Consider the following 12544-nt stretch of genomic DNA (forward strand, 5'->3'; position numbering starts at 1 on the left):
TGGAAATCTAAACATACCAGAGAGCTATTTGTGGGCAGAGTACAGCTGGAAGACAAATCTATCTTTTTATTCTTTATTAGGGGCATCTGGAATTATAATCTCAGAATTACTTTGAACATTTGCATCTATTATGATATCATGCTTTTGATTCACTGACTTTTTAGTCAGCTATCCAATTATGTTAAACCAAGCTCTTCCCCATCATAAAGTAAGCCATTCCCAGGCTCTTGAGCTGCTCCTTTTCTGCAATCTAAAGAGCTCATCCTCAATCACACATCTGGGTTCTGTGGAATCAAATCAGCTATTAATTTTACAGTTTTACCTGTCATGTCAACAGAATACATTTCTTTGAACTCTTCTGCTTTTCTTACTTCAGTATTCCAGAAAGATAGATCTGGGTTACAGGAAAATCAAGTAAGAAGCTTTTGGGCTACTCTGGGATGGTGCAATGATAAAAATCTGCCATGGGAGGCATTAGAAGAATTAGAAGAGGACATAGTAATCATCTATTGTAGTTAAGCACTTTATTTTATAGTTAAGGAACCACACAAAGGAAAATATCAGAGTTTATTATTTTCCTGAAAACTTTGTAGGATAGTGCTTTCTAAGAGAAATTCCAAACATAATCCTAGTGATTCTATGTTTATTAAGAGATCTTGGGACCTGTAGGTATATCATAATAATAAGACATTTAGCACTATTAGATATTGTACATTCGATAGAATAATAACGACATAATTCATTTCTGTGTAATTTGTCTTTCTTATAGAAGGGATACACTTTTGTGGCGGAAGCATTTACAGGCGACACATATGTAGCAGCCTCACGATGGAAACTGCGTCTCATCGGTTCTTCTGCTCCACTGCCATGCCTCTCTCGAGACTCTCCATGCAATTCCTTTGCCATAAAGGAAATCCGAGATTACTACATACCCAATGATAAGAAAATTTTATTCAGGTACAAGTAAATGACAGAAGGGGAAAGGCATTTTTTAAAAAATATTAATATTTTAGGATAAAAATAAATTCTGCAGTAAAATCCTGAGTCGGTTTTGAATTTCAAATTCCATATTCTTTTTGGAAACAATTAATTGAGTGTGATGTGATTATGTGGGTGTTACGTAAGATTAAGCCTGTATGGCTACATATAATGGTAGTGAGATTTCCCTAAGTCTTCATCCTACTTGACTTTGATTAAAGATTCTTCATGACATGGCTTCCTCTTACTATTTTCTTCTTCTTCTGCTCCATCTCTGGCTAGTATTTTGTGGGGGTTTAATCAACCAACTCAGCCTTCTTTTTATGTTCATCTATGTGCAGTGTTCTCCTTAAATAGCCTAATCATAGATTCCACTCTCTTTCATTAATCAGTCTTCAATGTCCCTGCACTATTTCCAGCCCTCATTATCTTCAGTCTATACAATTGTTTTGTTTCTGGAATCCATGACTCTACTATATTCCCTTTTCTGCACTTAATCAGTTTTTTCTCATTCTCCCTATCCATTTACATACTCATCCTTTACTTCCACAGTAATTGCCTTTCAACCACACATATTTAAATATGTGATTCTCCTGCTTTTAAACCTTTGATAACGTTCCATTGACTACAGATAAACTCCGAAGCACATAGCATGTTATTTAGCATTCTTGAACAGATGCCTAACACAGTGTGCTCTCCTGATGGAACTAACAACCACCTCCTGATATATATGCCCAGAAATTTTATTTTGCTCGAGCATTTCCTCTTGTCCCATGTGTCCTGTCCCCACCTCTCCACTTAAAAAAAAATCATCACCTTTAATGATAATTTTCAATAGTAAACTTTGTGCTTAAACCTTCAAATATAATTAGTTGGCTCTGGTCATGTTCCTATAGTCCTTTGTTCTCTCTGAGACTGTGACATATCAAATTTTATCTAGTTAATTTCACATTGGCCACTGTGAGAATCAACATTGATTGAAGGCAAGAATCATTTATTTTCAATATAGGACCTAACACAGTGCCTGATACATAATTGGCCTCCATTAACAATGTGTTGTTATTCAACGAGTTGTTGGAATACTTATCTTCTCTTTTTAATATACACTTCTCTGCACAGAAAATTTGGAAAATATGTGTATTCCCCAGAAGGAAAGAAACACACCAATAACTAAAAATAGCAATTGTGATAAAATATTTTAACTACTATGATAGAAAACTATCGTATCACATGGCAGGGCCACTAATAGTCTAAAAAGTGAAATTTAACCTACTACCTAAATTACTCCCAGAAGCTGGTATTAAAGTCATCAAGCTGAGTGGTGAGGAAGGTGAAGAGGGAGCTGCTTAGGTAGCATAAGTGAAAGTTCATAAATTAAAGGATATACAACCTTTTCTGGAAACTCAAGACATTGTTTTGTTTGCAAAGTTGGGTTTTGGCATGCTATAGTAAGTAGTAAGACCAGAAAGTCAGCAAAAGCTTTCTGAGAAGAGCCTCACTGGACAAGAAGTATGGATTTTTACATTAGGAGCAAGGGGACTCTTTAAAGGATTTTAAGAAACATTATCAGACTTGTGTTAAAAATTATGTCGCATAGCATGAATTTTTAAAAATATATATATGCATGTGTATATACATATATATATATATGTATTTTTTTTTTTTTGAGACAGAGTCTCACTCTGTCACCCAGGCTGTATGTAGTACAGCGGCACGATCTTGGCTCATTGCAACCTCTGCCTCCCGGGTTCAAGTGATTCTCAAGCCTCAGCCTCCCAAGTAGCTGGGATTACAGGTGCATGCCACCAAGCCTAGTTAATTTTTGTATTTTTTGTAGAGATCAGGTCTCACCATGTTGTCCAGGCTAGTCTCAAACTCCTGGCCTCAAGTGAGGCCACCTGTCTCAGCCTCCCAAAGTCCTGGGATTACAGATGTGAGCAACTGCGCCCAGCCCATTAATTATATTTTATAACAGAAAATATGTTAGAACTATATTATTTTAAAATTATATTTAATCATAAAAGACGTGGAATATGGAAAAAAAAACTTCACTCAAGGCAGCAGTGTGTTGAATGAATGGAAGGGGAGCATAACCAGAGGGAGGGAAACCAGGTAAAAGCTTTGAAATAAACCAGAAGTGAGATTATGGCAGTCTGAATTAGGGCAGCATATTGACCTGTGAGGACTGCCATAACAAAAGTCCACACACTGGGTGGGTGACTTATGCAATAGACATTTATTGTTGCAGAGCTGTGGAAACTATTAACAGAAGTGTGAGATCAAAGTGTCAGTAGGGTTGGTTCCAACTGAGGCTGTGGGAGAGAACCTGTTTCGTGACTTTCTCCTGGCTTCTTGTGGTTTGCTGGTAATCTTTGGTTATCCTTAGCTTTTAGAAGCATCACGTCTATCTCTGCCAACATCTTCACGTGGTATCTTCCCCTGTGTGCCTCTGTTTCCAAATTTCCCTTTTTCTTTAGAGACAATCTCACTTTGTCGCCCAGCTGGAGTTCAGTGGTGCAATCATGGCTCACTAAAAACTAACTCCTGCCTCAAGCAATCCTCTCACCTCACCATAGCTGATACTACGGGCACATGCCACCATGCCCAGCTAATTATTTTTTAAATTTTTTGTAGAGACAGACTCTTGCTATGTTGACCAGGCTGGTCTCAAACTCTTGGCCTCAAGCAATCCACCTGCCTTGGCCTCCCAAAGTGCTGGGTTTATAGGCATGAGCCACAGTGCTCAGTCCTAAATTTCCCTTTTTTTATGAGGACACCAATCATACTGGAGTAGAGCCCACTCTAATGACTTAATTTTAACTTGATTCTCTGCAAAAGACCCTATCTCCAAATAGGTGACATTGTGAAGCACTGGGGGTTAGAACTCCAACAGATCTTTGGTGGTAGGCGGGGACACAATTCAACCCACAACAGGCAGTGACAGTGAATCTGGAGAGAAGAAAAAGGATTTTAAGATATTGAGGTAAAATTGACAGCCTTGCTGGAGTTCTAGAGTTTGGCTTGGAAAATGTTTGGATGATGTCATTTACTTAGATAGAGGGGAGAAGCTCATTTGCAAGGTGGGCCATAGGAAGACAACTGATTCCTTTTTAGTTTTTAAATGTGGTGGTCTAGTGAAATAGCCAAGTGATACTGCATAGGTAGTTCCACTGCAGACATTGATTTGGGAGTCATTATTCTGTTACTGCTCATGGAAGTGCCCAGGAAAGTTTGCAAAATGAGAATCAGACCTAGGACAGAATATGAAGACTCTCTGATGTTTGTGGGAATGTCTGTCAATGGAAGCAAAGCAGCCCCCAAACAGGAGGGAAAGTACAAAAGTTGCTGTGCTCATAGTGGAAGAGTTTTTAAAGGAGGAGGAAATCAGGGTCCAGTCAACACTGTCAAGTTCTCCTGAGAGGTAAAAGAAGATGAGAACTGAAGTTTCTATAGGATGGTGACAAACTCCTTGAAACCTTGGCAAGAGTAGCTTTAGCACCTGGTGTGTTAGTCCGTTCTCACACTGCTATAAAGACATACCTGAGACTCAGTAATTTATGGAGAAAAGAGGTTTAAGTGACTCACAGTTCTACAGTATGTACAGGAGGCATGGCTGGAGAAGCCTCAGGAATCTTACAATCATGGCAGAAGACGAAAAGGAAGCAGGAAGAGTCTTCACATGGCAGAGCAGGAGAGAGAGAGAGAGAGAGAAGGGGGAAGTGCTATACACTTTCAAACAACCAGATCTCATGAGAACTCACTCACTATCATGAGGACAGCAAGGGGAATTCCATCCCCATGATCCAATCACCTCCTACCAGGCTGCTCCTCCAACCCTGATTATCATAATTCAACATGAGATTTGGGTGGGGACACAGAGCCAAACCATATCACCGGTGTTGCTGATGGAGTAGGCACGTGGAAGGTGGTAAGATAAGGAGAGTTGTCTGCTTCCACTCTTCTCAGGTGCTGAGCTGGGAAGTTGGAAATGCAGTAGAGGCTGGACTGCAAAGTGGGCTGAAAGTTTTGTTGGTTTGTTTTTTGCTTTGTTTTAATCTATTTTAAAGATAGGAGAGAACTGTACTTATGCACAAACTAATTTCAAGGAGGAATAAAGAGTGGGGTTTATTTAAGATACAGGAGAGGGGCCAGGTAAGTGGCTCATACCTGTAATCCCAGTACTTTACAAGGCTGAGGCAGGAGGATTGCTTGAGCCCAGGAGTTTAAGAACAGCCTGGGTTAACATAGTGAGATCCTGTCTCTACAAAAAATAAAAATTTAGTTGAGCATGGTGGTGCATACCTGTAGTCCCAGCTATATTGGAGTCTGACGCGGAAATATCACTTGAGCCCAGGAGTTTGAGGTGCAGTGAGTCATGATTGCACCACTGCACTCCAGCCTGTGTGAACTTTTCCATATATATAGAGAGAAAAAAGTGTTGTCTTTTAGTGTCGTCATATATATGAGAGACATGATACTCAGAAAAGCAAATTTCTAGAGAAATTAAAAGTTGATAGAGTCCTAAGCATTTGTGAGGAATCACCTAAAATAAGAACAAAAAGCCAACTCTTTAATTGCATTAAAAGGGGAGCGGGAAAGAATGGATTAGACTGCATGTTTCCAGTCTTTTTGCAAGAGGTTTCCAAACTATTGGTGAGGGGTGAAGGTGGAAGCTAATTTCTCTGTATTTTTGTGATTCACAGAAAATGCTATTATCAGTGAAGCTCCAAAGGCTTCTGCCAGGAGTGCTTTTTGTGTAATAGAGAGGGTTGACGTGGCAGTAGTTTGCAGATCTATTAAGAGGTTTGGTGGCTTTTAGGGCTATCAAGTTTTATATTTGTTTATTTATTTTTATTAAGTTCTGGTGTACCTGTGCAAGATGTGCAGGTTTGTTACATAGGTAAACATGTGCCATGGTGGTTTGCTGCACCTATCAAACCCATTACCTAGGTATTAAGCTCAGCATGCATTAGCTCTTTTACCTGTTGCTCTCCCACCCCCCACCCTCCCGCAACATGCCCTAGAGTAAGTGTTGTTCCCCTCCCTGTGTCCATGTGTTCTCATTGTTCAGCTCCCACTTATAAGTGAGAATATGCAGTGTTTGGTTTTCTGCTCCTGCATTAGTTTGCTGAGGATAATGGCTTCCAGCTTCGTCTATGTGCCTGCAAAGGACATGATCTCATTCCTTTTTATGGCTGCATAGTATTCCATGGTGCATATGTACCATATTTTCTTTATCCAGTCTATCATTGATGTGTGTTTGGGTTAATTCCATGTCTTTGCTGTTGTGAATAGTGCTGCGGTGAACATATGCATGCATGTATCTTTATAATAGAATGATTTATGTTTCTCTGGGTATATACCCAGTAATGGGATTGCTGGGTCAAATGGTATTTCTGGTTCTAAATCTTTGAGGATCACCACACTGTCTTCCACAATGATTGAACTAATTTACATTCTCACCAACGGTGTAAAAGAGTTTCCATTTCTCTGCAACCTCACCAGCATCTATCGTTTCCTGACCTTAATAATCATCATTCTGACTGGCATGAGATGGTATCTCATTGTGGTTTTGATTCACATTTCTCTAATGATCAGTGATGTTGAGCTATCTTTTATGTGTTTGTTGGCCACATGTATGTCATTTTTTGAGAAGCGTCTGTTTATATCCTTTGTAGGGCTATCAAGTTTTATAAGTGACTGCTTATTACATCTAAACAAAAAGTTATATTTTTTATATCTAGGATTTGATGATAATAAAAGTTCTATTTCCTTTTGTTTTACAGTACTATATTGGGATCCTTTGCCAAAGTCTCTAATAACTCCAGTATTTTCAGGATGTTAGTGAACTTTAAAAAGTAGTTTTACTTTTAGGTTATCATATCAGAAAATTAGACAGTTTTCCTTACTGTCTTAGTCTGTTCTTGCATTGCTATAAAGAAATACCTGAGACTGGGTAATTTCTGAAGAAAAGAGGTTTAATTGGCTCATGGTTCTGCAGGCTGTACAGGAAGCATAATGCTGGCATCTGCTCAGTGTCTAGGGAGGCCTCAGGAAGCTTCCAATCATGGCAGAAGAGGAATGGGGAGCAGGTACATCACATGGCCAGAGCAGGAGTAAGAGAGAGAGAAAGGGGGAGGGGGACACATGTTTAAACAACCAGATCTCATGACAACTCACTCACTGTCATGTGAATGGCACCAAGTAGATGGTGCTAAACTATTCGTGAGAAACCTGTCCCCAAGATCCAATTACCTCTCACCAGGCCCCACCTCAAACAGTGAGGGTCACAGTTTGACAGCAGATTTGGGCAGGGACATATATCCAAACTATCTCACTTACTGACTTGAGAGAAAGACCAACATACTTGCTTATAATGTTAACTTTTTTTCTTTACAGGTATTCGGTTAAAGTTCTAACACCACAACCTGCTACAATACAGGTACGCACATCCAAACCAGATGCATTCATCAAGCTGCAGGTCCTAGAAAATGAAGAAACTATGGTGAGCTCCACTGGAAAAGGCCAAGCTATAATCCCAGCATTTCACTTCTTGAAGAGTGAGAAAGGTTTGAGCTCCCAGTGTAAGTGTACCTTTATGAACAGGATAGTTAGATTCATAAATGGATATTTATGTTTTCATGACACTTTAAAAATGAAAATAAAGTAGCAAGTAACCACTTAAATTATGAAACTTCATAGTACAGTAAAATATTACAAGTATAGCATTTGCATGTCAAATTAGGCTCCGAAAATCATTATAGGTTTATTTTAAAGCCTTTTCATCTTGGAGAAAAATTTACTTTCCTATTATATGAGCCTTCTTAATAAGAAGTCAAATTTTTATTATTTTGAAAGAATATTTTTACTTTTTTAAATTCGTAATTCATTATTTTCAGAAAATATTGTACTTACTAAAATTAACAAAAACTAAAGTTACTACTTGCAATATATTATTCTCAATGAGTTATTAAATAAATAAAATAATTTTGGAAATAATGGTTAGCAGTGCTACTCTGAGGTGTATTACGTAGTTATGTTAGTAACTTGATTCTGACTGTAAAAATCACACATTACCAATGTAGCATATTTGGAAAAATAGAAAATTACAAACAAGGGAACAAGAAATGCCTTATAATCGTGCTACTCAGAAAAAAAGTTAATATTTTAGCTTTTTTGCCAAAACACACTAAATATTTTGGCTTTTATGCCTTCATTCTCCGTTTTTGCACTTAGATTTTAAGCAAAACTGAGTTCTTACCTATTTTGCCCATTGATATTTCTTCTTTCTTAAAATAATAACTTTATTTATTTTTTGTGGCCTTGGCTGGGACCTCCAAACCAAGGTTAAATAACTGATGATGACGTATTTCCTTTTCTTAAGGAGGAAAACTTGGGACATTTATCATTAATTATCTTTTTTGGTGGCTTCTAATAATTAGACTTTATGAAACTTGAGAAAGTTCCTTCTATTGATAGCTGTGAATTCTAATATTGAATGGGTTTGGAACATTATTAGTTATTTGTTGTTGTTGTTTATAGAAATCATCAAATTTTACTCCTTTGAGTTTAATAAGTTTAGTTTTAATTTTGAATCACTCTTGCATTCTTAGAATGAAACCTATTTGGCCATGATGTTTTAACATACTCCTATGTTTAGAATATATAATTTTACTCAGTTTGTTGGATCATAATCATAACTTTGTATCTCTATGAGTTTTTTTCTCTATGTGCACCCGTACAATTATTCTTTTCTAGTTCTTAAGCTAAAATTATAATGAATACTTGAAATTAATTTGAGAACTTTGTAGTTTTTCTATTTTTGAGACTTTTAAATTCTCCAGGATTCATTTCTTTTTAAAAAATTTATTATATTTGTCCTCAAAACTTTCTAAATCTGATGTTTTTAGGGGAGAGACATTCATTTGTTTTTTCACTATATAAGAAAATAATTTCCAAGGTTATTTTTTAACTGCCTTTCATTTTTATAGAATATATTTTTAGTGAAAAGTACAGATTCATTTAGTATTTCCAATGTATCTGCATAAATTTGCATAAAGGATTTTTTAAATTTTTAAATATCTTCTCAATGGGTTTGTATAAATATAATGTATTCTTTTTTATTTATTTTTAATTTATTCCTAATCAGACTTTTTTGAATTTACTCTGTATTATTGGTCTTTTCTTAGAAAGAATTGGATTTATTATTCAAACCCGAATGGCTCTTTTAGATTTATAATCTACTTTGTCAATATTTATATTTATCTTTTAAAACCATTTCTCTACTTTTAAAATTTAGTCAAATGCTTTTTCTTCTAGCTTTGCCAGTTGCAATTTTATTTCATGTTTTAAATCTTGTTTTTAAATGGATATACTTAATGCTATACATTTTTCTAACTGGCTACATATGTTTTATTATATTTTATAACTTAGAATGCTATAAAATTTTTATGTAGTGTTATGTTAGCCATGGGCTATGATTTATTTTTTACTTTTTCTTTAACCTTAGCATTTATAACATTTTTAGAATTTCTAAATAATAAAATTGCTTTATTTAGCCTATTTCTGTTAATTTCTAATTGAATTCTGTGGAGTTAGAAAGTGTAGATATATTTTCTACTTTGAGGATTTGACTGGTGTTTTTCCAGTTTCCTGATTCAAATCAAGTTTGATTACTGTCCCACTGAGGTTTAAAAAGAATTCTATTTTGGAGGTAGTTTGATGTCTAAATGCACACATACACTTTCATAAAAGTCAAACTTGCTAATTATGATATTTAAAATGTCAAGGTTGTCATTTATACTTTAACTGGTGTGAAAATTTCTTAGTGATGTGTATTAAGATCACCTATTTTTATTTTTAAATGTGTGATAACATCTCTAACTCTAATATGTTTAGTTTTACATATGTATATGCTATGTTGCTAGTTATGTAAGTTTCATATTTGCTTTATATTTTTCATGTATTATATTTTTAAAATAAACATAAAACAACCTTCTCTTAACTTTAACAGGATTTCTTATCACTGATTCTTCCTTTTGTTATTCTTCCTTTTGCTATTATTTGCCTGTTGATACTGTTCATCTGTTTAGTTTTCCATCCTCTACATGTTTTTGCTGTGAGTCTTTCTCCTGTAAATGGATATTTTTTCTACACAATGATATATGGACTGGCTTTGTGCCCCACCCAAATCTCATCTTGATTTATAATCCAAATTGTAATCTCCACATGTTGGGAGAGGGACCTCGTGGGAGGTGATTAGACCATGGGATGCTATTCCCCCATGCTATTTTCGGGATAGTAAGTGAGTTCTCGCAAAATCTGATGGTTTTATAAGGGGTTTTCTCCCCCTTCACTCTGCACTTCTCTCTCCTGTCACCATATGAAAAAGGATGTGTTTGCTTCCCCTTCCTCATCTACCATGATTGTAAGATCCCTCAGGTCTCTTCAGCCATGCGGAACTGTGTGTTAATTAAACCTCTTTCCTTTATAAATTATCTAGTCGGGCAGTTATTTTTAGCAGTGTGAGGACAGACTAATATAAAATGCAAGATTCTTGTCTCTAAAATGGGGGAATGCAGTCCATTTGCATTAATTTTGATGTGTATGTTTTTGAATTATTCCATCACATTATATTTCTTAATTGATTACATCTTCTAGTTGACCTTTGCAAAGCTATTTCATAATCAGCACCCTTCCTGAACCTTTTCCCCAATAGTGTTTATTTTGATTAAACCTACAAGCAAATTACTAGAAATAACTGTTATTTTTCTATATGTAAAAATCTTTATATCCCTTTTCTACCTAATATCTGTATTTTTTTGTTTGTTTTGTTTTGTTTTAGTTATATAGGTGGGCATTCCAGAGCAATACAGATTCCAGTGGTGACACTGACTTTTGACTCCCTGTCCCTCTCTCTTTAACAACTACAGGCAAATTAGGGAGTATAAGCTGAGCAACAGATCACTGCAAATTGTTTGATATCCCATCATCTTACACAGGCTTCAGTAGTTTGAGTCTCTGTCTTTTCCCAGTCCAGTGTTCTATCCAGGAACTGCTCCTAGCTAGTGGGATGAAGGGTACCACTGAAGGATTTATTATTTACACTAACTTGACTGGAGGCACTCAGTCTATAATACAAATCCTTCCTACCATTCTCCCCAGAGCTTTCTGCAAGATAGACCTTGCCACGTGTGGCTCTACTTCTGAGTATTGTTTCCTAAATCAGTTTTTGGTTTTGATCACTAACGTCGGGTAAGAATCCCATTTCCAGGGAGACAAGGAGTACAGTTCAGGCTGTGACCTTAATCAAGATTTTAACACTGCTTATTTGAAATCTCTCTGTGTTTTTCATTTATCTCATTATTATGATTTATAGAATGTAAAATATTACATATACATACCTCTGATTAGTTTCTCCCTATTTCATTCTTTCCATATTTCTAGTCTGACTTTCAAGTTTCTTCTGATTTTATTGCATAACTCAGTGTAATTGTGCTCGCTAAACATAATTTCCATCCTCCCACTGTACCAATATATTTCCCTTCTAAATGCCCCAATAAATAGTACTACCCACTCGACATCAACATGTTCATCATCATTTTGTTCCTAAATTTTTTTTTTTTGAGATGGAGTCTCACTCTGTCACCCAGGCTGTAGTGATCTCAGATCACTGCAACCTCCACCTCCTGGATTCAAGTGATTCTCGTGCCTTAGCCTCCCAAGTAGCTGGGATTACAGGTGCGTGACACCACACCCGGCTAATTTTTGTATTTTAGTAGAGACAGGATTTCATTATGTTGGCCATGCTGGTCTCAAACTCCTGACCTCAAGTGATCCACCTGCATCAGCTTCCCCAAGGGCTGGGATTACAGGTGTGAGCCACTGTTCCTAGATTTATTTTGAATGCCTGTAATGATTTACCCATAATTCATCAACAAATATGATTGAGGGAATTTGTTAAAGAAAACTCTTTGTATTATATGTTGCATCATTTACAAAATTTAATTTATAAAACATATTTACTTTTACCAAGTGTTTTTTACGATTTATATTTCCCCATTTGATTTATAGTTATCATAAATTATATAAATATTTTCAATATTCAATGATATTTGCTATTTTAGAATAAACCCTAGTTGATTGTGGTGGTTTTTGTTAATAGTAGTAGATTTGGTTTACAATTATTTTATTGGGAATTTTTTACACATTCTAATTAATATGTATAGTGAACAAATATGTTAATAATATATTTATTAAATGCTTATATAGATTGAATTTATCTCTGTTCCTTGACTGTTTAATTCTGCATGGATCTTTGAACATACTCTATCTCTCTTTTAAAAATTGTATATTATATGATATCCATTTGTAGAAAAGTCTTTTGTTCCTGTCATTCTTTTAATTACTAGTTACTGTACAATACCCCAATGGTCTTAGCAGGGAGTTTAACTCCAGCCTTCCATGAATAGTAAATTGAAGCTTACTTGGACAGTAAGATGCACAAAGAAGTAAGGATCCTTCTGTTCTGATCCTTAGAATAATTTTAAATTATTTAAATTTAAAA

The 12544-nt window shown here is 35.8% G+C and overlaps 1 protein-coding gene and 1 long non-coding RNA gene across 2 annotated transcripts in view; one reads left to right on the plus strand and one right to left on the minus strand.

Moving 5' to 3' along the window:
• The window catches only part of ADGB (androglobin), a 216491-nt gene that overhangs the window by 146181 nt on the left and 57766 nt on the right, over positions 1 to 12544 (plus strand). Inside the window, exons 26-27 of the mRNA NM_024694.4 lie at positions 770 to 957; positions 7378 to 7562. Coding sequence (NP_078970.3) covers positions 770 to 957; positions 7378 to 7562 — 373 coding nt within the window. The remainder of the gene's footprint in view (positions 1 to 769; positions 958 to 7377; positions 7563 to 12544) is intronic.
• The window catches only part of LOC105378040 (uncharacterized), a 39913-nt gene that overhangs the window by 13912 nt on the left and 13457 nt on the right, over positions 1 to 12544 (minus strand). The gene's annotated exons all lie outside the window — the stretch shown is intronic.

This window comes from Homo sapiens, chromosome 6 (assembly GCF_000001405.40).
Source record: "Homo sapiens chromosome 6, GRCh38.p14 Primary Assembly".
NCBI lineage: Eukaryota > Metazoa > Chordata > Mammalia > Primates > Hominidae > Homo > Homo sapiens.